Source organism: Homo sapiens, chromosome 9 (genome assembly GCF_000001405.40).
Source record: "Homo sapiens chromosome 9, GRCh38.p14 Primary Assembly".
In the NCBI taxonomy this organism is placed as follows: Eukaryota; Metazoa; Chordata; class Mammalia; order Primates; family Hominidae; genus Homo; species Homo sapiens.
The window spans coordinates 99181062-99206716 of record NC_000009.12 but is presented as its reverse complement, the minus strand read 5'-3'; the positions used below and the strand labels follow the sequence as shown (position 1 = coordinate 99206716).

General features: G+C 43.2%; 1 long non-coding RNA gene and 1 pseudogene across 1 annotated transcript, besides 4 other annotated features; one reads left to right on the top strand and one right to left on the bottom strand.

Annotated features, from left to right (window-relative positions):
• Positions 3282-3451: an enhancer, noted in NCBI's record as "experimental_103898 CRE fragment used in MPRA reporter constructs". NCBI's record gives its function as "activates a minimal promoter by MPRAs in K562 erythroleukemia cells, with activity observed for both the introgressed and non-introgressed 9:101965633 variant alleles {active_cell/tissue: K562}" and the evidence as "EXISTENCE:reporter gene assay evidence [ECO:0000049][PMID:34662402]".
• Positions 19142-19261: a silencer, noted in NCBI's record as "silent region_20126". NCBI's record gives its function as "represses an Ori minimal core promoter by ATAC-STARR-seq in GM12878 lymphoblastoid cells {active_cell/tissue: GM12878}" and the evidence as "EXISTENCE:reporter gene assay evidence [ECO:0000049][PMID:35858748]".
• RN7SL794P (RNA, 7SL, cytoplasmic 794, pseudogene) lies at positions 20851-21130 on the top strand (annotated as a pseudogene).
• On the bottom strand, positions 21181-22394 carry LOC105376174 (uncharacterized). The gene is made up of 2 exons (XR_930169.3): positions 22315-22394; positions 21181-22123 (listed from the first exon to the last, which is right to left on the bottom strand). It is a non-coding gene; the product is annotated as an uncharacterized LOC105376174 (long non-coding RNA).
• Positions 21806-22015: an enhancer, noted in NCBI's record as "active region_28701". NCBI's record gives its function as "activates an Ori minimal core promoter by ATAC-STARR-seq in GM12878 lymphoblastoid cells {active_cell/tissue: GM12878}" and the evidence as "EXISTENCE:reporter gene assay evidence [ECO:0000049][PMID:35858748]".
• Positions 24632-25091: an enhancer, noted in NCBI's record as "active region_28700". NCBI's record gives its function as "activates an Ori minimal core promoter by ATAC-STARR-seq in GM12878 lymphoblastoid cells {active_cell/tissue: GM12878}" and the evidence as "EXISTENCE:reporter gene assay evidence [ECO:0000049][PMID:35858748]".

The following is a 25655-nucleotide window of genomic DNA, read 5'->3' as shown; positions in this document are numbered from 1 at the left end:
TTCAACATAGCAGTGGAAGTCCTAATGAGAGCAGTCTAGGCAAGGGAAAGAAATAAAAGGCATCCAAATTGGAAAAGAGGTAGTCAAATTATCCCTCTTTGTTTTCTTTTTTTTTTGAATTTAAAAAAAAATTTGTAGAGATGGGATCTCCCAATGTTGCCCAGGCTGGTCTCGAACTCCTGGACCCAAGCAGTCCTCCCTCAGCCTCCCAAAGTGCTGAGATTACAGATGTGAGCCACTGTGCCTGGCCTGTTTTTCTTTGCAGACGATGTGATCTTATATGTAGAAAAACCTAGACTCCACCAAAAAAAAAAAAAAAAACCCTCAGATCTGATAAACAAAATCAGTAAATTTTCAGGATGTAAAATCAACATAGAAAATCAGTAGTTTTTCTATATACCCATAGTGAACTAGCAGAAAAAGAAATCAAGAATCCAATCCCATTTACAATAGCTACCAAAAATATATAAAATACCTAAGAATAAATGTATCCAGCAAAACACTGATGAAATAAATTGAAGAGGACACAAACAAATGGAAAGATGTTCCATGCTCATAGATTGGAAGAATTAATATTGCTGAAATGACCACACTACTCAAAGCAATCAACACATGTAATGCAGTTCCTTACAGTGCAACCCCCAATGCAATACATTATAGGGCTATAGTAACCAAAACAGCTGAGTATTGGTATTAAAAACAGACACATAGATTAGTGGAACAGAATAGAGAACCAAGAAATAAATCCACATACTTACAGCAAATTGATTTTTGACAAAGGCACAAAGAACATACATTGGGAAAAGGACGCCCCCTTCAATAAATGGTGCTGTGAAAACTCGATATTCCTATTCAGAAGGATGAAACTAGACTCCTGTGTCTCACCATATACAAAATCCACTGAAAATTGATTAAAGACTTAAATCTAAAACTTGAGACTGTGAAACTACTGGAAGAAAACATAGGGGAAACACTTGAGGACATTGGTCTAGGCAAAGATTTTATAGCTAAGATATCAAAAGAGTAGGCAACAACAACAACAAAAAACAGACAAATGGGACTATATTAAACTAAAAAGCTTCTGCACAGCAACGAAAACAACAGAATGAAGAGACAACCTGTTAAAATAGGGGAACATATTTGGAAACTACTCATCTGACAAGGGACTAATATCCAGAATATACAAGGAACTCAAACAACTCAACAGTAAAAAAAAAAAAAAAAAAATCCGACATTTCCCAAAAGACATACAAATAGCCAACAGGTATATAAAAATACGCTCAATATCACTAATCATAGCTCATTAGTGATGTTGAGCACTTCAACATTTTACCTCATTTAGAATGACTGTTACTAAAAAGACAAAAAGAAAAAAAAAATTGGCCAGGCGTGGTGGCTCACACCTGTAATCCCAGCACTTTTTGAGGCCGAGGCAGGTGGATCACCAGGTCAGGAGTTCAAGACCAGCCTGGCCAACATGGCGAAACCCTATCTCTACCAAAAATACAAAAATTATCCAGGCATGGTGGCAGGCACCTGTAATCCCAGCTACTCGGTAAGCCAAAGCAGGAGAATCACTTGAACTGAAGAGGCAGAGGTTGCAGTGAGCCGAGATCCTGCCATTGCACTCCAGCCGGGGCAACGAGAGCAAGACTCCATCTCAAAAAACAAAACAAACAAACAAAAAAAAACAGAAAAAGAAAGAAAAAAAAGTAGATGCCGGCGAGGATGCAGAGTAAGGGAACTCATACACTGTTGGTGGGAATATAAATTAGTACAAGTATTATGGAAAACAGTATGGAGATTTTTTAAAATAATAATAAAAATAAAAATAGAGATACCATACAATCCAGCAATCCCACTACTGGCTATTTATCCAAAGGAAAGGAAATCTGGGCCAGGCTCAGTGGCTCATGCCTGTAATCCCAGCACTTTGGGAGGCTGAGGCCGGTGGATCACCTGAGGTCAGGAGTTCGAGACCAGCCTGACCAACATGGTGAAACCCCGTCTCAACTAAAAATAAAAAAGTTAGCTGGGCTTGGTGGCATGCACCTATAGTCCCAGCTACTCCGGAGGCTGAGACAGGAGAATCACTTGAACCCAGGAGGTGGAGGTTGCAGTGAGCCAAGATGGCTCAACTGCACTCCAGCCTGGGCAACAGATCAAGACTCTGTCCCCCCAAAAATAAATAAATAAATAAAGGAAAGGAACTCAGTATGTCAAAGGAATACATGCACCCCCTTGTTTATTGCAGAACTATCCATAATAGCAAAGATATGAAGTCTTTGAAACATGTCCATTAACAGATGAATGGATGAAGAAAATGTGGTGTATATATTCAAAATGACATACTATTCAGCCATAAAAAAGCATGAAGTCCTGTCATTTGCAGCAACATGGATGGAACTGGAAGTCATTATGTTAGGTGAAATAAGCCAGGCATAGACAGACAAATACGTTCTCACTTATATGTGGGCACTAAAAAAGTTGATCTCAGCTGGGTGGGCTGGCTCACACCTGTAATCACAGCACTTTGGGCGGTCGAGGTGGGTGGATCACCTGAGGTCACGAGTTTGAGACCAGCCTGTCCAACATGGTGAAACCCCGTCTCTACTAAAAATACAAAAAAATTAGCCGGGCGTGGTGGCGGGTGCCTATAATCCCAGCTGCTCAGGAGGCTGAGGCAAGAGAATCGCTTGAACCCAGGAGGCGGAGGTTGCAGTGAGCCGAGATCCTGCCATTGCACTCCAGCCTGGGCAACAGAGCGAGACTCGGTCTCAAAAAAAAAAAAAAGAAAAGAAAAGAAAAGAAAATTGATCTCATGGAGATAAAGTAGAAAAATAGTTACCAGAGGCTGGGAGGGGGTCGGAGGGTTGAAGAGAGGTTGGTTAATGGATACAAATATACAGTTAGATTGAAGAAATAAGTTCTAATGTTCAATAGCAGAGTAGGGTGATTATAGTTAACAACAATGTATTGTATATTTCAAATTAGCTAGAAGATAACCTGAAATGTTCCCAACACCAAGAAATGGTAAATACTCAAGATGGTGAATACCCCAAATACCCTGACTTGATCATTACACATTGTATGCATGCAACAAAATGTCATGTTACACTGTCAATATGTACAAATATTGTGTGTCAATAAATTTATTTTTAAACTTACCCTCAAGAGGTCCTTGCAGGCAAATCATGCCTTCTCACATACCTTTCACTCGTTGCTTCTACTTCCACAATAAATCTTACTCATATATATTTAGGACCTACCCTGTGCATAGCACTGAAGATAAAGAAATGAAATTAGCAGTTTAATACTCTTTGACTTACATAATTCTGCATTGTTCAATACTAATATCCTCAGACCTGACTTTCTCTTTGTTCACGTTAAATAATCATATTTTACCCATATTTTAATTTTGAATATTTTTTGGTTTGTCTAATAAATAGAGAAATCTTAGATTTAGTGTTTTTTCTTATAGTATTGGTTTTTAATATTTTATTAAAGATTACTGAGGTTGCTCTTATTACACCTGTGTGTGTATATACACACACACATATATATACACACATATATACTCACACACACATATATATACACATATATACAGACCTGTATATATGTACACACACATATATACACACCTGTATATGTGTACACTGTATGTATCTACACACACAAGTGTAATACATATATACATAATATATATGTGTATATGTGTATATATTCTTTGTACCATCCTTTTTTTTCTTAAAAAGGACACTTGCTTTCCCTTCTGATTTTCTTCATTCTTCTGCTATTCATTGATGTATTTCATTATCCCATTATTTCAATATAAATAATTTCTTTCAAATATTTTAATTTTTTTATTTCAAGTTTGATAATATATTTGCCGCAGTTGTTTGGACTTACTTCAGTACAATCAACTGGTCTCACTGGTTTCTACCTTAGATTCATTGTTCCCTTTCTATGGAACACATCTTTGAATAACATTTTTTCAGAGAGAATATATGCATTTGTATAATTCCCATTGTCTTGCATATAAATAGCTTGATTATATATAAAATTCTTGAGTCACATGTTTTTCTTTCAAAACTTTGTAAATGTTTACCTTCTAGAGCTGCTTTTCCTATAATATGTTCCAAGGAAAATAAGCTGTAAAAAATGCTTCAGGAAAAAGGGCTCCATGGTTATATAACTATAGGAAAACTTCCATTCCTATAGGAAAGGTACATTTTCTATCAGAAATGTACCAGGGAAAGTAGCATACTATAGGCCATGAGCTCTCCTGAGGTAATGAAAATGGATTAATTTTATTTCCAGTGTATCCAAGCTACTTGACCACAGTAATACTGAGAGAAAGCAAATGACCAACAATACAGTAACAGGTAACATCTTTTCAGCATGTACTATGCACTAGGCACTGTTCTAGCACTTAGTCTGTGTACATTATCTGATTTAATCCTCACAATAGTTCTAGATGGGTGGTAGAATTTTTCAATCTGTTTTAACAAATGAGGAAACAGAGGCACAAATAACTTAAGAAAATGAGCTAGAAAATGCTGAAGCTAAATTGAAACCCAAGTAGTTAGCTCCTGAACCATTATTCATATCCTTAAGAGTTGGCAGGGAAGGGCAATAAAGGCAACTTCTATATCTTTCCTAAGCCTGAAAAACACAGCGAAACATCTAATTGTACCAGAAAAGAAAGGGAACTTTCCACCAACCAGAAGTACACTCTGCTAGACTGTCCTAGAATTTGCTGCTGAATTATGGCACAGGCACTTTGGGGGGTAATCTGATGATCATCCATGCAAGTGCTCAACCTCTGCTGTTGGCCAACATCCAGGACCCATCATTGAATACTCATCACCTCATCAATTCATCCTCCTCAACTGACGGGCAAAACAACATCCAAATATTCATTGCACATCTGTGCCGGGCAGATTATACATTAGCAATTCAAATCTGGCCGGTGTGCTGGCTGTTCCTGCAAATGCGTCTGTTTGGGTGAGATGCCTTGTTGTCTGGGATGGATAATAAGGCAACTCGGTCTAATCTTGAAGAACAATCAACCCATCTTGTGAAGGTGACTGGCTGTGTGTGTTCTTGCCCTGGCAGCATTGGAACAATGGCCCCATAATGCACTCGACTCAGCTGGCAATGAAGTCCCATCCTGATTAGTAGCCGTGGCTGGTGTCAATCACCACAGGATGCATCATTGTCCCCTGGTCCCCAACACAGTTTATTTACAGGAAAACAAAGGCTTTGGGGGGCCATGGCTGCTTCCCAGAGATTGCAAAATAGATTGAGCTGTCAAGCACACAAAGTAGATGAAGATTAATGAGTTGTGCGGACAATAAATATGAAGAGATGACCATGAATATGCTAATGGGCATTATCCATATACACTGTAATTGCTACCAAAATTAAAAGGTGGCATGAAGAAGATGGGTCACAGGGTGACAGGGAGATAATCTTGGATGCTTGAGACACTCACTCAAGATAAGGCTCTCTACAGGTTTCCTTTTTCCCCATTAAACCATCCTGAGGCATCATTATTCACAAGCTATCTGAATACGCTCCTTTTAAACAGGGATATAAGGGGCAGGGTGAGGGTGGGAAGCTGGAAAAGTTACTTTAAGGAAAGGTGTAATTAGAATAAGAAAGGCTTATCAAAGGCAAGAAGTGATCAGCTGTCAGTCTCCCACTTTATCCCCAGGGGCAGAATTGATGAGAGATGTCACTTCAAACTTCAGATTCCCCACGATAAGAGCCACAGGGATTATTGAGAATGGTATTTAGAATACCTTTCAGGGCGCACTGGGTGATTTTTCAAAGTATTCTAATATTCTGATTTAAAAACAACAATAATAATAATAGAGAAAGTTGAAGAACTTAATGTTTCAAGGCAAATGAAATCTTGCGATCATGAATGATTGGATCTTGGAAAAGCTATGCTCTGTAGTACTGTGGCATGGCCGTGGCATGGCTGAGTCTCACCCTGCCTTGCAGTCAGTCCTCACAGTCCCCCATGTGGCAGGGTGGGGGTCTCTGTCTCCATTCAACACCTTTCTTCCTTTCCACGCGTATGTCTGTGGATGGGGCTTAAATTATCCTAATAACACACCTAAGTAATGCTATGAGAGGCCACGAATAACAGAAAGAGAAAGAAAGGTTTTCTTGTTTCATGGGTTCTCTGTTCTGGACAATCTGCTCCCCCAGAGGTCTATGAGATGCTTCCCCGGGTTGTGGGAACACATCTTTGCTCCTTCAGGATAGAGACCAAACATGTTCCTTGGCCTACCCCAGGTGAAGGACTAACAGGATGAAACCACAGTTTCAGGATGAAGAGCTAAGGGTGAAAAAGAGGAAGTCAGGAAAAGGAAGGGGTTCCAGTCTGAGGCTGGACTGAAAATCCGCCTAACAGGGAAAAAAGGAAAGTTTGTACAAATGTTTGAAACAAGCTTACGGAAATGGGTGAGAGAAAAAGGTACTGAACTAAGTATAACTTTAGAAATGAGCGAGGCCTGGCCAAGAGAAAGGCCAAGGGAACGGCACATAAGCACTGTAGTCTAGTGACAAAGCCGTTTCCCATGGGGGTATGGGCTAACAATTCTGAAACCAGCACTTACGTATACTGGAATTAAACAATGAAGTAAATAGGTAGCAGATGGTAGAAGCCAGGTTTCTCACAGTTGGAGTGAGAGGTTACAGGTAAGCAAGGGGAGAAGGCTACACTGATCGATGTAGTAATAGAGCAGAGTTGAAGACATCAGCAAGCACTCATGTGAAACTTAATATAGATCCAGATGGCTACACAAAGAAATATTTATGGATATATGGATATGCACCGGTTAGTGTACACACATATATTTCCTTGCTCTGTCAGCTGAGAGGGCCTAGAAGCAATGACACTCCAGGGGCAATGACACCCTAGTAGCAACACCCATGCCTAGCACCTAGATCTTGGTTTCTTTTGTTTGCTTGTTTGTGTGTGTGTGTGTGTGTTTTGAGATGGAGTTTTGCTCTTGTTGCCCAGGCTGGAGTGCAATGGCGGGATCTCAGCTCACTGCATCCCATGCCTCCCGGGTTCAAGTGAGTCTCCTGCCTCAGCCTCCTCAGTAGCTGGGATCACAGGCACCCACCACCATGCCCAGCTAATTTTTTGTATTTTTAGTAGAGACAGGATTTCACCAAGTTGTCCAGGCTGGTCTCAAACTCCTGACCTCAGGTGATCCGCCTGCCTTGGCCTCCCAAAGCCAAGAGCACCAAAATAAAGTAGTACTAGAGTGTAACCCAAAGTGCAAAATAAATATCCATGGTGTCACGCTGATATAAATAAACGAGTGAATAAATAAGCAGGAGAAAATAGAATAGATCTCTCACTTATTTATTCACTCACTTATTTATATTGGTTTGGAATAAATCTCCCTTGCAGAATTCCAGATAGCTTATGTAGGTACCCCACTCTCAAGGATGTAGAGCGTAATTCCCTACTGTAATTTTAGGATGTGTATAGTTCCTTCCTTCCAAAGAGTACAGTATGAAAAGGGGGAAAAAGAGTAACTTCACAGCCAAGAAACCTGACATCCGCTACCTCAACCAAGTGATTGAGGTCAATGTCTTATGTCATGTTGATAGGATGTGCCCTTGATCTGATGTAGCGAGAATGGCACTTCACCTCCGTGGTCTTCTTCCTCAAAACCCATAACCCCAATCTAATCATGAGGAAAACATTAGACACATGCCAGTAGAGGGGCATGCTACAAAATACCTGACCAGTCCTCCTCAAAACCAAAAATAAAGCCTGAGAAATTGTCACAGCCAAGAGGAGGCTAAGGAGAACTGACAACTACATGTAATTTGGTATTCTGTATAGGATCCTGGAACAGAAAAATGACATTAGATGAAATGGGTAAAAATTAAGGAAATCTGAATAATGTTTGGACTTTAGTTAGTATTAATGTATCAGTAATGGCTTATGAACTGTAACCACTGTACCTTACTAACATAAGATGTTAAGAATATGGGAAACTGGCTATGGAATATATGAGAACCCTTTGAACTACTCTGCACTTCTTCTCTATGTCTAAAACTATTCTGAAATCAAAAGTCCAGTTCAAAAAAAAAAAAAGTTTGCAGCATCTTTTGTGCTCAGTAGAAAGCTTTCAATAAGACTAGTCATTTTAGTAATGGATTGTGTCTGTGTGCCCTTCCAGAAGTTGTGCATATAACAGCCAGGGTGCTTAGTTTGCAAGCAACAAACTAATTTTTCCTGATTTACACCAGAAAGGAATTTATTGTAGGATATTGGATAGCACACAGAGTATATGAGAGAGCCTAAAACCAGCCTTGGAGGCCATACAGCTGGGATGATGTTGGAAAGCAGGCTCAGAACCGGCCCTGTGCAGACTCCGCTGTTGCTGCTGTGGACCTGCAGCTCATAGTTTACAATGCCAGCCCTCTGCTGTTCCATTCAGATGCAGCCACCAGATCTGCCGCCTCGGGGAAACTGTTGTGGCTGCTGTGGCTGCCAACGCCCTTGCTAGAATGGATCCTGCAGGGTCCCTCCTTCTCCACTTCATTCGCTTGTAATTCAGCTCAGGAGCGATGAGTCTGATTGGCTGAGCCCAGGCCACGGCTCTGCTTGGTGCAAGGGAGATCGGGATGTGTCTGGCATTTTCAGCTTCTACAGTGGGAGGAAAAGCCATGACTGGGCTGAGTTTTTCTCCAAGTTGTGAGAAGTTGGCATTTCCTTTCACTTACAGCCTACAACCAACCACAGGTAAAGCCAAGTGGGGAACTGAGTGACCTTAGTTAAGGGGGAAAATGCCACCATTGAAGAAAAGTAAGTAGCTAGGACATGAAGATCTAGATGGCTAGCTTCACTCTGCTGAGACCAGCTTAGATGTGACCAAACAGTTTTGTTTTGTTTTGTTTTGTTTTTAAGAAAAAAAACACTTTGAACAGGCTTGCAGGGGGATTATTCTGGAGATAGCGCTGCTTTTGTTTTCTTTAAGCTCATGCCATCACTTCTGGGGAATGCTGTGAAGAGAACCATCATCATTCAGAAGCCACCTACATAGAGCTGGGGTCCATGCCTGCTTGGGTGTCACTGTTGCTCCCTCCACTGGCTGTTGTGGATGGCAGAAGGTGCAAGGGAAGAGGGGCAGGGTTCCAGCTTTGTAATTAGACAACTCACACTCTGAGTCCCTGCTCTGCCACCCTCTAGCAGGTGACATTGGGCAAGGTATGTTTTGGAAGCTTAGTCATTAACACCCTTCATCTGTGCTCACACGCCAGCTCTCCTGGCGCACTTACCACTCTGAACTGGAACCATCTGTTAATGCATCAGCGAGCCCACTGGACTGTGCCCTGCTCATCCATCTCTGGACCCCTGGTGTTCAGCCCAGGCCTGGCACACAATAAGCACTCAGAGATGTTTGAATAAATAAATGTACATATAAGGGTGGCAAGAGAGCTGTGTGCCTTATAGAATGCCCTCAGTCAGTAAGAATTGCTTATTGAAAATTTTGTGAACTTGAAGTCAAAGAAATGTTGATTCAAGCTCTTCTTAGCAGCTTGATCCTTGGAGCGAATAAGAACTCTTCTGAGTCTCAGTTTTTCTTTTGTAAAAGGAGGGCCAATTATGAGGCAGACAGTGTTAAGTGGCCACCCGAAGGAAATTCCCAAATCCCTTCTCTCTTCTCACCACTACAGAGGCTAAAAAAGCTCAACACTCAGTTTCCCAGTCTCCCTGTGGCTAGCGGTGACCAAGTAACACATGTTAGGCCAATGAGTTGAGAGGGGGAAGATTAAAGAGAGATAAGCACAGAGTGGTCCCAGAAAATCCAGTTAATTTAGGAAGTTTATTTTGCCAAGGTTGAGGATGTGCACCTGTGACACAGCCTCAGGAAGTCCTGACAACATGTGCCCAAGGTGTTCGGGGCACAGCTTGGTTTTATACATTTTAGGGAGACATGAGACGTCAATCAATATGCGTTAGAAGTACATTGGTTCAGTCTGGAAAGGCGGGACAACTCAAAGCAAAGGCAGGAAGACTCGAAGGGGAAAGGGGGTTTCCAGGTCACAGATAGGTGAGAGATAAATGGTTGAATTCTTTTGAGTTTCTGATTCACTTTTGCAAAGGAGGTAATCAGATGTGCATTTATCTCAGTGAGCAGAGGAATAACTTTGAAAAGAATGGGAGGCAGGTTTGCCCTAAGCAGTTCCCAGCTTGAATTTTCCCTTTAGCTTAGTGATTCTGGGGGCCTGAGATATTTTCCTTTCACAACAGGAAAAGAAAGTTTCGCACAACTATAGCCTCTACTCTGCCTCCTGCCTTTGAGTGCAGATGTGGGGCTCAGTTGCCATACTGCAGATGCTCAGGAATAAGCCCAGTGGAGAAGAAGAGAGCAGAAGGCTGGAGGCCTTGATGCCGCCACTGGGCAGCTGAAATAAGGCCAGCATCCTCCTCCTCCATCATGTTAAGTAAAGGATAGATGTCTTGTGATTCAGGCCACTGTTAGTTGGGTTTTGTTACTTGCAGCCTAAAGCATCATAACCAATCAACTTTTCTCACAGGGTTGCTGTGAGGACTAATTAGACTCATCCATGCACCTGGCATGCAGTGAGCACTCGATAAATGGGAATTTACTGTTATTAGTATGGACCACAGCCCCACCCACAGGGAGCTCTGTGTGGTTAAGAAGGCAGAGAGAAAAGGAAGGTGGGAGGAGGAAGAGCAGAGGGAAGAGGGAGTCAGAAGGGACTTATGAAGAGGTGGGGAAGAGCAGAATGGAAGGGGAATGAAAGGGGATAGAGGGGATTAAGGGAAGTAGGTGGATAAAAGAAAGGGAAGGAGGAAGGAAGACAGGAAGGGGGACCCCAATAACAACTGAAGCAGAATGCTAAAAAAAAAAAAAAAAAAAAAAAAATCATGGTAAAACAAGAACTCAAAGAGTCCAAAGTTGACTTAAAGGAAATAAAGAATAATAACATTTCTTGTATACCCAGAGCCCTAAAAGGAGTTATGGTCCCACTATATTCTGCAGAGTTTCTGTGAGTATTTAACATGTAAGATAATTCATGTGAAAGGCCCCTGCACATGGTGGACACTTAATATTTTCCAAATCAAATGATATCATTTCAAAATTGGCAGCTGCAGAAGGGGCTGAAGAACCTAATTTCTTGCACCCCATTTCATCCTACCTGAGTGAACATCAGTTGGTCCATAAGAAGAGAGCCTAAGCTCCTCCCAGGTACAGTTAGAAAGGGGAGGTGAAAGGGTCCAGCTTTTTCAAGACATGGTATTTGATGTTATTTAACAGGAAGGTAGAGGTCAAGCTTGGCAGAGCCTGGTGATTTTCTTTTAAACAGGACTCTGCAATGCAAGCAAATGCTATATGGTGCACAGACATGCCATTGGCAACAGCGATCAAAGGTCAGTTTTATTCCAGGTAAGTAAAACAACAACAATAAAATCAGAGTAGATTAAAATAGGTATAAAACCCATTTTTGGGACATTAGAATATAGATGATATTAGATGATTTTATAGAATTATGTTTAACTTTCTTAGTAATAATAGCAGATGGTAATAAAGGAATATGTTCTTACTCTTAGGCAATCATCTTACTCTACTTGGGCTGTGATAACAAAATACCATAGACTGAGTGGCTTAAACAACATACATTTATTTCTCACAGTTCTAGGAACTGGAGGTCCTAAGTCAGGGTGCCAGCATAGTTGAACTTGGGTGAGGGCCCTCTTCCTGAAAGCTGTAGTCTCAGCTTGCAGACAGCTTTGCCTTTTTACTGTGTCCTCACACAACAGAGAGAGAAAGAGCACAAAAGCTCTCTGGTATCTCTTCTTACAAGGGCACTAATCCCATTGTGAGGGCTCCACCCTTGTGACCTCATCTAAACCTAATTACCCCCAAGTGCCCCATGTCCAAATATCACATTTGGGGTTAGGGCTTCAACGTGTGAATTTGAGGGGGACACAATTCAATCCATAGCAGAGATTTCCGTTGAAATATATAGGGATGAAGAATCATGATGTCTGAAAATTACTTTCAAATTATTTTGAAAATAAAAAGAGAAATAGAGATATAAGGTAAATATGGAAAAATGTGAAAGTAGATAATAGGCTTATGGAAACTGGTTAGCTTGATTTACTCACTTTTGTGTTTCTCTTCATCCACTCACTACTTCCCTCCCAGATCCATTCTTTGATCTGCCTGGCCGATGGTGGATGCTCAATATGTCTGTTGAATTAATATTAAAAATAAAGTTCTCCTTACCTGCTAATATCTGCATGACTAAGTAGAGACATAGTTTTAAGCCATTTTCAAAAAATACCCACAATGAATTACTTAAGTAAACATGATTTGCTTAAAGTCACAGTTTAACCTTGCTTTTTTCCTCCCAGCGTTAAGTATCAGATGAAAGGGTGCTTGCTCTCTGTCCCCAGATGCCCCAGGCTGTCCCTCCAGACTGCAGGAGGCCAAGCTCCCTTTTTCTTTCCCTGTGTGCCTTCTGCCCTCACTCAGAGTCCCTACCACCTCAAAACCTTGGGAGCAAACCACGTGGGCAAAAGCAATTTAACGGAAGACAGTACAAATGTTGTACACTTTGAAAATTTTTTTAAAAGAACTGGCAAGATAAAACATTTAATTGCAAGTAACTTGTAAAAATAAAAGTAGTAAAAGTAATAAAAAAAATTACCCAAGAGGCAGAGCTACAAAGAGACTGTAGCTCATTGTTTGAGAATGAATTAGACCTTTATAAAACTCTGAACATTTCCAGATTCTTTAATTGTTATAACGCACCTTTTATTACTTTTCTCTTATTCCTATTGCTTTAGGTCCTTTCAGATTTTTTTTCTATGATAATGGTAATAGACGTTACTACTGAGTGAGTGCCTACTGTGTACCAGGCACAGTTTAGCCCTCACAAGACTATGAGGTGGGTATCCCCATTTTATAGATGAAGAAATTGAGGCTCAAAGAGGATAAGTCACTTGCTTATGATCACACCACTAGAAAGGATAGAACTGGACTCAGACCTCCACATCTGCTCACCTCAAAACCTCAGACTCTACACTACTTCCCGTAAGTGTGTTCCTCTACAAAAACAGCTTCTGTCACATAGTCCCCTATTGTTGGTCCATTATATTGCTTCCAGCTTGTATTTGTTTTTCATTGTTGCTGTAAAGAATTAGCAACAATTAACACAATTAACTTTAGTGGCTTAAAACAACATGCATTCTCTTACAGTTCTGGGAGTCAGATGCCTACAATGAGTCTTCTGAGGCTGAAATCAAGGTGTCGGCAAGGATGGTTCCTTCTGAGAGAGGATCTAGAAAGAATCTGTTTCTTGCCTCTTGTAGCCCCTAGAGGCCGCCTGTATTCCTTGGCCTATGGCTACATGACTCAGTTCTCTGCTTCCATCGCCTCCCCTCCCTGCAACTCCTGTCTTCCTCTTATAAATACTCCTGTGATTATATTGCGCCCACCCAGATATTAATAATTCAGGATAATCTCCCCATGTCAAGATCCTTAATTTAGTTGCATCTGCAAAGTCACTTTTACCATGGAATGAAACATTCATAGGTTCCAGGGATTAGGACATGGGCATCCTTAGGGGACCATTATTCGGTTCAACATACAACTTTTTGACCCAAAGTGCAGAGTAGGAGTCACTGACTCTCCCATGAGTCATTCTCACCCCACATTTCAGGCTTCCATCAGGGATGGGCTCTTGCCTGCTCTGACACTTAACAATGATCTTGGATACTAACCAATCCCATTGCCTGCTAGTTTCCTCCAAACACAGTGGAGGCTTGTTTTTAAGCCACTAAAGTTAATTGTGTTAATTGTGGCTAATTTGTTACAGCAACAATGATGATCAATTCAGTATCAGGCTGTCCTATTTCAGATTCTCCTGAATCACCCCCCAACACACACACACACACACACACACACACACACACACACACACACACACACACATTTTATTTCATCCTTCTCTAGAAGAGATGTATTGAAAATAATACCCCCTACCTTCTCAACGTTGTGAAACTCAAAAGTCAGCAGCAGCTTGGAGGTCTCCAGGTCCTGAGCGCCTCTCTGTTGCCATAATATTTAAGTGGAGTGACTTTAACCCTAAATCCATATGTGATGGGAAAGAGAGAATCTTCCTAATATCACTGAAGATCTTCAGGGCTAAGGGATTTCCATTTTTCTTAGTCACATAAATGTTCGCTTTTCTACTTTTCAATTCCAGTAACATGCAACAACTGCCCTTTTCCCTTAACTCTTCAGCACATATCGAACACCCAATTCCTTCAACCTCCAAAGCACCATCAGTGCAAGCAGAGTGTGTATAGTGGTATCTAAGTTCATTCCTGTTGCTATAACAAAATACTTTAGACGGGGTAATTTATAAACAACAGAAATTCATTGCTCACAATTCTGGAGGCTGGGAAATCCAAGATCAAGGTGCCAGCAGATCTAGTGTCTGATGAGGTCCTGTTCTTCACAGATGATACCTTCTCTGTACCTTTACATGATGGAAGGGCAGAAGAGGGTAAACTCACTCCTTAAAACCCTTTTATAAGGGCACCAATCCCACCCATTAGGGCAGAGTCCTTATGATCTAATCACTTCCCAAAAGCTCCATCTCTTAATACCATCACCTTAGAAATTAAGTTCCAATATATGAATTTTAGGGGGACACCGACATTCAGGTCATAGCAAGTAAAGTAAACAATTACCCACTACAACTTAGATGTTATAATAATAATAATAATAATAATAATAATAATAATAATAATAACTGTCTTCTCTGCAACATGTCTTATCTTGTACCCAAGCCTCTACCCTTTCTCTGATGAGGGAATTCAACCTAGGACAGGGGCATCTTAAGCTTCTTAATTAAAGGTAACTCCATCTCTTCCCATTTAGAATAGTCTCTTGGGTATGGTTTCAGTTGATTTAAAGTTAACATCCATAAAGTCATAAGGTTTTCTCCGTTCATAGATTCTCCACTCCCCACCTCCTAATTTCTGATATGGTACCAGCATAGTGACGGGAAGAATGACCCTGGGTGCTTATGTTCCCCTCTGGGTCTTCACTGGCCTCTACTCCTGCATCCCCATTCTGTGAGGTCCTGGGCGTCCTGTGATGGGGTCTTTTGGTGCGGAAGGTAATTGGTCTGGTCTGGGGGGTATTAAGGAGATAATTAAAGTCCTTCCATAGCCTGAGGTCCCAAGAACCTGTGCTTTGTAGCTCACCTGTGCTGTCCCCTAATTGATATAAGTCAAGTAGTTCTCCTAGAGGTTCCTCATCCCCCACCAGGCCATGTGGGAATTCCTGGATCTCTATCCAGGAATTGGATATCCATCCAGGAGCACTGTCTCTGCCCATCTATCCAGATCTTTCTTCTCTCTAGTGCTACCACTTCCATGTTAGACACGGCCTCACACCAAAGGTCGGCTTCTCTGAGAGGCTTAGAGTAGCAGCCCTGATATCTTTTAGCTCCTCCACACTTAGCTGATACTTTCTTCTGCTTACACTTCTCTCTGAGGTTCAGCCCCAAGGTGATAATGTATTGGTCAGCTATTGCCACATGAATGCTGTGTAATAAGCCACCTCAAAACTCAGTGGTTTCCAACAACAAGCATTTTTTTTCACTTCCAGTTGTATAGTTTGCCCAGGGCAGCTCTGCCTTAGGATGCAAGTCAGCTGGAATTGGCTCCAGGTTTGGATTGGGATCAGATTTGCTCCACATGGCCTTACATTCCCCTTGGAAAATCAAAGAAGCGCAAAAGAACACAAGCAGTGCATTGCCTCTTAAGGCCCTGGACTAAACAAGCCACCTAGCCAGATTCAACACCAATGAGACAGGGAACCATATTCTACTCATTCTGTGTACCACAAGGCCACAAGACTACAAGATATTCAGGGTTTACTAGAAAGTCAGAAGGGGGTTAAGCTACCTCTTCCCAGGGGACTCTGAGAAGGCTTCAGAGAGGAGATGACTTCTGAGCTGTTTTAAAAGAAGAGCAGTTTTTTTAACCAAATGGCTCTAAGAGGAAGGGCATCCTGGGCAGAGGCTGCAGGTTATGGAAAGGGAGCAAGAAGTGAGAGAGCCTGTGCTGAGGCTCAGAAGCCCAATGTGCTGGGAAGCGAGCCTAGAGAGTGGCAGAGGCACATTGCAGAGGATGCCAGGAGCCAGGCTAAAGATCTGGAGGCTTGGACTTTGTTCTAGAAACCATGGGCAGTCTGTGATGGGCTCTGGACCAAGGAGGAGGCCTGAACACGGTTGGATATGTGAGAGTCACATAACTAACAGGCGGGGAGGAGGCGAACAGGGATCTTCCCACTCCCAAAGCCGTGCTTCTTCCATGAGGTCCCCTGCCTACTTCCAGTCACGCCAGGCTCCAAATGCCAGTGTTTACTCCTCTGCCCTCCTCCTGTTGAGAATTACTACGGCTTCCCTGCCTTCATGGGGAAGGAAGAAGGGCCAGCAGGCCCCTTTCAATGACCCCAGAAAAGGAACTCCATTTCACATGACCTACTTACAGAACTTGGACAGCTGTAGACCATCAATATAAATTCCTAGTCTCTATCCTATTTATTTTAGTTGATGACTCAGAATGTTTGAATAGCATATTCATTTATGGCCAGAAAATATTAGCTTCTAAACACTGTAAGCCTGCCCCCAAATCACTTCTTTAAATTCAGATTGTTTTCCCATTCCATCAATTTGCGATCAGAGTTTTCATCACAGACAGATTTTTATAAGTCAGCCCTAGACTTGGGATTTATTTATGCCCATAAACAAAACCCCAATATTAATCGCAAACTATTTCTGATTCTCAGTTAACGTCCTTAAACATCTTGTGTCCCTGGGGACTCTTTGCCCTGTCATATGAAGATGACGTTTTAAGATTTGTATTTCCCCAAAGAAGCAAGTAGATCATAAAACCTAATGTATTCCGTGGTTCGGAATGATAATTTCACCAAGAGGTGAGGGAATATTTCACTGCAGATCGTTACAACACCCACGTAAGTTGTTTATATACTACTTCCCATTAAATATTCATCCAGCTTCTGTTTATGGAATGGCTCCTATGTCCCCAGTAGGGACTGTGGGTGGGTCTTGTATGTGGGGGGGCAGGTAGTGCAGGACAAAGCTGTGGACAGCTCCCTGACTTGGGGTAAGAAGGTTGTGGATAGAAGGCACATCTACCTTGTGGAGCTAGAAAGCAAGAAGCTATGGAGGGGACACAGCCATTCATGGGCAGTGTGCTGGAGACCAAGCTGGAAGACAACTTTGGCTACAAGAGCAGGGCCCCAGGCTGGCAATGCATGTGGCCACAAGGGTGCCTGTCCCCGAAGACCTAGCTAGAATGGAACAGAGGCACGTGCAGAGCCCAGATGCAGAGAGGTTGAAGAAAGGGGTGAGGAAAAGAGGCATGCAGGATTGGATGCTACCAGAATGCAGTGGGATTCCACTTCACCAACATTTTCTGAGAATCTCTGCCTCCGTCCTATGCTTCAATTTTTCCCACTGTAGGAATAGAGGCAGAGAGCTGCATGGCAAAGTGTCTTACAATGAAGACCACAATGAGGGAACCTGGAAGCAAAGGTGTAGGACCCTTGAATTCTGCCCCTTGGGAGTAATCTCAGAAAGCTTATCAAAACAATATGGTGCCATCGTGTTGTGATTAGGGGCAGTCTTTGAAAACAGGACTCAAATTCCTGCACCTTCCTTTCCTAGCTAGGTGTCCTTGGTCCTCAGTCACGTTAGTGCCCCAGTGCTCCTACCTGTACAAGGTGGGTAATATTATGACCCCCCTCTGAAAGTGGTCAGGAGGGTGAAATGGAATAGTATGTGCACCTAGCACTTAGCAACGAGCCTGGCACAGAAGCAGTGAGAGCCTCGGGGCATTGATGCCATGCTTTATGAAAGGCAAACAGGTACCACCAATATATTTAGGTAAGAGAGTGATGGGATCCAGTCTTCCTTTCAGAAAGGAGACTGGGTTGTGGACGAGGGGGCTTGTGCTGATGTCACAGCCAGGGAATAGGGTGGTTGGATTGTCCTGATATAAGCACAGTGGCAAAGGAAGCCTCATCTGAAAACTGGGAAGATCTGTGCCTGTTGGAAGCCAAGAGGAGGGAGGTGGAAAAAATGAGATCCTGGGGGGAATGGGAGAGAGGCAGTCACAGTTATGAGTGGTGGAAGAAGTTGGAGAGAATGGGAATGAGCTGCAAATGCTATGATTTCACAGTTTTACTCTCAAACTAAGTCATTGCTTCTACAACTCTACACTCAATGATGGAGAAACCGAGAAAGAATCATTGAGAGATACAGATATGTAGATGTATGTGTAGGTATAAAATTTTTTAGAAAAGAAAGAATATTCAGAATCCCTAGTATTTGTCTGCATTAGTTCCTTTACTGGAGCTATAGATCTGAAATACAGTTTGGTTATCTGTCCGTCCACCCATCCACTCACTGTGTTTAGCAGCCCTGACCATAGAAGGTACTCAACCAATATTTGCTGGGTAAATGAAGCAAAGAGTGAGCGCCAAAGAGATTTGAAGAATGTGAGATTTAATTTAAAACTCTTCATGCCAGTGCAGTATTACAGTCTTGTTTTCATTCATTTCAATGGATAATTCAGGAAGTAATTTAGAAAATAAATCCCCACCACTTTAACTCCTATTAAAATCAAATCAATAGACCTTATAGGTGAGACACTAGCTCAGGGTACTTTCTCCAGTACTGGTGGGAATGAACATTGATACAACTTGTGTAGGCAGTTTGTACACTTTCTCAAAAGGTGTATGTATTATACACATACCCAGGAATTTCACTTTCAGGATGTTAGCCTTTTGATAGGCTCATCCATGCGTAACATGACATCTTACAAAGATATTCACAGAGCATTGTTAATAACATTAAAAATGAGAAACAAATGTCGCATAATAGCGGACCAGCTAAGTGATAGTATACCCATACGATGGGATACTATCCCGCTATTTTTAAGCAAAAGCAGCTTTAAATAAGTGGTTAGGAATGATGTCCAAGATACAATGCTACTTGAAAGTAAAGGCATGTAAGCCTGTTTATGTTTTTGTATTCTTAGACTGCTCCTGTAAGAATACCTAAGAAACTGGCAAGGCGTTGCCTCCAAATTGGAAAACAGAAGTGAGAAATAGACTGACTTCCTGTATCCTCTTTTGTACCTACTTAGTCTATTTCAAAAACTAACAAACTTTAATTTCAAAAGCCAAATACTAGAGAAGGGTTTATGACAAAGCAAAATTCCTTTGTTCCATCCCTAGTCCCCCTCCCCAGTGGTAACCACTTTAGACAATTTTACATCTCAAATAATATGTTAATTTTGCTATTTCTTGGATTAACAATTCTGTATTACCTATTTATTTTATGTTCTAATAGTTGAAGACTTAGCTCGCCTATAACCCCGACCACTTCCTCTCCTGTCCTTTTAGTAAAGTTATATTATGTGCTAGTTCAGGATACAGCAGGTAATGCTGCAATGACAGACAACCCCAAATCCCAATGGCTTCTATCAAGAAAGGTTTGTTTCTCACTCATGGGACTTGTCTATTACAGGTCCATGGGGGACAGGAAGAGGCATAATCTGTACACTGTAATTATTCAAAACCCAAGGCTGATGGAAGAGCCACCATCTCACATAATGCCAGTCGCCTTCTAGAAGAAAGATTGATCCCACTGGTAATGAAATGCTAGCCCTGGAAGTGATTCCCATCACTTTGGTTCACAACTCAGTTACCAGAACTAATCTCATGGCCCCATCTAACCAGAGAGGGTCAGGAATTATCCAGAACAAAGGAGAACCAGAAATATCTTGGCAAGTGGCACTAATGACTAACATAGTTACCTTTGCAGCTAGACATAAAATAGTTAAACCTCTTTTTCTTGTTCTATCAATGTTAGGCATCATTTCCGGACTCCTCATTTTGTAAGATGCAATTGTTACTGTTACTAGCAGCTTCTTTGCCTTCTATCTTTCCTCCAGCTTTGGTTCCTGACTTCTTTCAGTTCTACTTTTCCCCACCCCAAACCTTTTTTTATTTTTTGTTAGGTTTGCTAACTCTCCCATACATTTCAGTAACCATAATCAGCTCTCTTATGCTCTGCAATTCTATGACTATATAAATATTATTTACTGCAGAGCCAAGCAATGTGCTGCAGTTGTTTCTTTCTTAGTGCATCTAATGTTACAATCTCTGGTGCCACCCTAGGGAATTTTCAGATGGATTCTCCTACACTCCATAAACTTCAGTTTTGCTTTGTATTTGCACTGAAATTTAAAAATCAATGGGAGCGTTGGAAGATGCAGCTGAAGAAATATGGGCCACATAAAGTATTAATGCGCCATGGGAGCCACAAAAGGCCCATGTGCCACCATAGAGCTAACACAGCCTCCATCGGCTGGAGGCTAGGACATCTGAGGCTGAACAAGGGACAGCTCCTGCAGGAACTGAAGGCAGAGCTTAGCATATGGGCCCAGGAGCCAGCACAGGGAACGCAGCCTCGTGCCTGCTCCTCACTGCCAGCCTGTGCTGGCCTCCTCTAATTGGATTGAGTGTTCTGTCATTTTCCCTCAGATGCACTGTGTGGAGAAGGGCCACATGTGCATTCACAGTAATGGTCTCCAACCACTATCCAGTTGGGACACTTTGGGGGCACTATGGAGGTCAGAAACAGCCAAAGGGCAACATGTTTTATTTTGTTTTTTAATGGAATCAGAATCAGAAGTATTAGCACCAATATAGGCTCTGTGCCAGGCACAGTGGTGGCACCCACCTGTCATCCCAGCTACTCAGAAGGCAGGAGGATCACTTGGGCCCAGGAGTTCTGGGCTTTAGTGCACTATGCCGATCAGGTGTCTGCGCTAAGTTTGGCATTAATATGGTGGCCTCTCTGGAGAGGGGGACCACCGGGTTGCCTAAGGGAGGGTGAGCAGGCCCAGGTAGGAAATGGAGCAAGTCAGAGCTCCTGTGCTGGACAATAGTGGGATCAGCCACTGTACTCAGACCTGGGGAACAACATAGTGAGACCTCGTCTCTAAAAAAAAAAAAAAAAAAAAAAAAAAGACAAAAGACAAACGAAAAAGCTCCGTGTGTGTTTATTGGGACAGAAGTGAAGGGAAGCAATGGTTAGAGATTATCCAGTCTGACCCGCCCATTCCACAGATGAGACAGTCGAGGCCCAAGGAATGGGAGGGGCATCTCCAGGTTCTCCAGCATCACAAGCTACTCCCCAGCTCTGCACCAGCTTCCCACATCAGTGACCCCTCTCTCCCTGCCAGCGCCTCCCATGTCAAAACAGCTCAGAGGACGGAAAGCTGGAGATGCTGGACGTGCAGAGACCCACCACCTGCCCGCTGTACAGAGCGAGACACTCCTTAGCTTACACAGCGAGTCGCCGTCAGAACCAGGGCCAGAGGGTCGCCCTGTGAACTGAGACCAACCCTCTCCCCTGCCCTGCCTCCCTCTCGCCCTTGAGTTCTCAGATGTAGGAAGGCAGCTCTACCCTGCTGGCCCCAGAGCGGTCACCGTCCATGGCCAGGAGCCAGCTACGTCCTGTGTGCCCTCCTCACTCTCCGTCCTTCCCTGCAGACGGGAAGAACGCTGGCATCAAACACAGTAGGAGAAGCAGTGATGGCCGTCCTTGTACCGAAGGAGCCATTCTTAAACCACGCTGCTAAAGCCACTTTAAAGGCTTTCAGAGCTCTGGGGCAGGGAGAAGGGCCATCGCCCTTCCTTAACAAAGTCACCTTTCACAACCTCCAGATTCTCCAGGCAGGCGTTTTTGGCTGGCTCTTTGGGAAGATCTTATGTGTGGACCACCATCGCCCTCTTGTGGCCTGTAGGCGAAGTGCTTTACGGTCTTGCTCAGAGAACAAAGGCCGTCAGTCTCCCTCCCTTCTCCTGTCTCTGGCACAGGAAGGGGTGGCTGCGTCAGTTTTTCATTCTGGGGGCCTTGGCCTTGGCTGTTGGAGCTTGATAGACTAATGAGATGTACATCAGCTCAGGAAACAGCTGCTGAGTGCCTGACGGAGGGGTTGAGTCAGAAGGAATGAAGTGAAAAATTGATTTATGTCAGAGGCTTTGGCAGGCATTTGTCTGAAAAATCACTAGCCGCCAGCGCTGCTCCAGTGCTCATGAGGCCGCGCATGAGTGTTCACACCCCCTCAACACCCACCCCACCCACCCCGCACCTCCGCTTTCACTGAAACCTTACTTCAAGGCCCAACTCTCACGCCTCCTCCTCCAGGAAGCCCAGCTTGCTCTCTGCAGCTCCTGAGACTCCAAGAAGAGCTTGCGGCCCACCCCTCTGCTTCCTCCTCTGCTCTGGTTCAGCCTCTGCCACGGTCGGAGCCAGCCGGGACTGTGGCCAATGTCTGCTCAACCTTTGAATCTCTGAGGACAGAGGCTGCATCTTGTGCTCCTAGAGTCAGGCCAGGCCCAGCCCTGAGTGGCTGAGTCTGTTGAATGAGAGAGGTCACTTCAGCCCAGTCATCGCCTCCGAAACCCACACCAAGCCCAACAAGAGATTCAGGCCCCTCTGGAGAAGGTGGGCTTTGTGGGTGCCCTGGCTGGCAGGGCTTTGTGACAGGTTTGAGGATGGGGCCATAGCAAGGGATGAACTGAACACTGACCCCCCCCCCAGTGCTTGTTCCTTCACTTACTTTTCCAACCTCCACTTCCCCAAGGAGTCCCAGGCAATGCCTGTTCAGCTGGTCTCTCCTGGGGCAAGCCTCTGAGGAGGAAAGAGTCCGCTGGACCTGGGGTTGGCTCTGGGGCAGTTATCTTGGTCCCTCCATTTCCTCATCTACCCAATAGCAGCAAAGAATATTGATTGGCATGGTTTGGGAACATGAACAGAGATGACTGCTGAAAACCCATGAGCACCACGGTGAGTCTTTCTGATCATTTCTGGGTTCTGAGCACTGGGTAGGCTGTTCCCACCACATAATCCACTCAACCACTGCTGCAACGGGATGGAAGAGTGGTCCAGAGCCTGGGCCCTGAAGCCAGACTGCTTGAGCCTGAATTCTTGCTCTGACACTTATCAGCTCTGGCACTATCTGCATAGTACCTTAAAAAAGGGAGATAACCATAGCACTCACCTCATAGAAGTATTGTGAGCAGGAAGTGAGTTAACACATCTAAAGGAATTAGAGCAGTGATTGGAGCGTGGGAAATGCTCAGGAAAGTAAGCCCTTGCTGCAGTATTGCATGGAAGCTGCTTGTCTTGAGGTCATCTCCTCCTGGAATGGTGTATCACAAAGACAGATCCGAGTTGCATTTTACATAAAAATCGATCTTTCTAATGCACACACTCGGCATTAGCTTCTTCATTCTGAGGTCAACATGCCACTGGTGTGAGGAAAAACCTAGTGTTTTAAAGACATTTGTTGATCTAATGTCTAATGAATTAATTAATTACTAGGTTGTATTTTTCCTACACAGATTTGCACTACGTGCATGGATGAGGAAGCATGAGGATGCAGTAACCTACAACTGAAATATTGGGCCTGATCTCCAACCCAGGACTATGCCAAGCAGAGGCTAGTGGCAGATATGGGAGCCATATACCCACCGAGAACCCTGAAGACCTTCATGCCAAGCCAGGACCATTTAATGTTTTCATTAATGGCTTGAAGGATGGAATCGAGACCCAGCTAATCAGATTTCTGGATGATAGGAAGCTGGAAGGGATCTTAGCTACTTTGGAGGACAAGATTAAAATGCAATCCAAGCTTGACGAATTGCAGAGATGGACCTAAATCAATAAAAAGAGCAACAATAAAGATAAATGCAAGCTGCTTGGAACAGAGCTGAGAAAATTATCCGGGTACCACATGGTGATGAGAGAAATGAGTTTTAGGGAGCCAGGAGGAGGTACCTGGATGTAAATTGATCAAGTCATGGTGTCTGTAAAGTGGAGGCACAACTCTGTCACCTGGTGGATCCCAAACTTCAATAAGCGTAAGACTATAGCTCAGAGAGCTTTGAAAATGCGGATTTCCAAGCCACAGGCCTGAGACTGTGATTCAGTAGTTGTGTAATGGAGCTAAGAAGATTCTAGTGTAGGTGGCCCATGGGCAGTGCTTTGAGAAAACCGGCAGGGTAAAGATGTAGCCTCTGACCACACCATTATTTCCTAAATGTTTACTATGTGGAATGTTTATCCCATGGGATTTTCTGTAAGAAGTGAGTCCATGGTCAAATATGGGAATGTTCTCTGTCCAAAATTTAAAAAAAAAAATCACAAGGCAAGTGAGCACACCAGTGACCCCAACATTTTCTGCAATCAAATAAACTGCACAACTTGGTTCAATCCAGAGTTTCCCAAACTTTTTGATTAGGGACTCATTTTTTCATGTAACATTCAAAAACATCTTGTGCAACACCGTTCAGAAAATTCTGAATTTTCTGAATTCAGCTGGAATTTGACAGCATTTAAAATGCTGCTCTGTCTCCTAACTACCCTGGATGTGAACTTTCCTTTAACATTTAGAAGAGAGGAAAGCAAGTTAACTACAGCTTGAGTCCTGGGCTTCTATCGCTTATTGATAGTGTCCCGTGTACCCCAGATGGGTGAGGAGGGCAGTACTTTTCCTCCTCTGTTTACTGTCTTCCTGGAGCTCGTGTCCAGAATCGCTAGTTGCCTTCTCCTTGTCTACTCTCTCCTTTCCTTTAGTAACAGAATCTCCATATTGTTGAATGTGGTAATGTGCCCCGCTACAAAACCACATTCTGCAGCCTCCCCTGCAGATGTGGTCAGTCAGTTGTACACAGAAGTCACTGGGGGGATTTCTGGGGAATTCCTTTAGAGATGCTGACGCATTTGAAAGGCACCCTTTTTGTTCTTCCCCAATTTCTTCTTCTTCCTGCCTGTAACACAGATAGGGTAGGGGTGCTGGCAGCCATGCTGGGCCATGAGGTGACCTTACAGATGGAAGCCACTCACTAAGGATGGCAGAACAGAAAGATAGAAGGAGCTCAAGATGTTGATGGCATTGTGAAGCCACCAGAGCAGTCCTGCCCTGCCTAAGATAAAAAATGTACCCCTATTTTGTTTAAGCCACTGTTTTTCAGGCCTCTGTTGCTAACAGTTGAGTGCAATTTTGAACTCACACAGGGTAGAGTCAGCAAAGCCTTTTTGTCATTTTTCCCAAATCTCAGCTCCTGTGGACTTCCAACCTGACCACATCCCTGGATGTTCTTGTGTATGTGAGTGTGTGTGTGTGTGTGTGTGTGTGTGCACATGTGCTTTCTTGCCCCACCCTCAGCATGAGGCACTGAGGCATGTGGCCAGCACAGTTCTGTGTAGCCTGTGTCTTCGGCTGCCTCTCTTTTATCTCCTTTACTGGAATTAAGCACAGAATGGAATTAACTCAGAATGACATATTCAAGAGTCTCACGTCCCTGTAGAATGAATCCCTTTTGGAATCTCCGTGCTTTATTTCTAAATGTTTTGTAATCTACACTCAACATAGAATTCCTGTCTGAAATCAGTGAGTGGCTCCTGAGAAGAGGCAGGTTGAATGGAAATACAATCTCAAGAATTCCCTT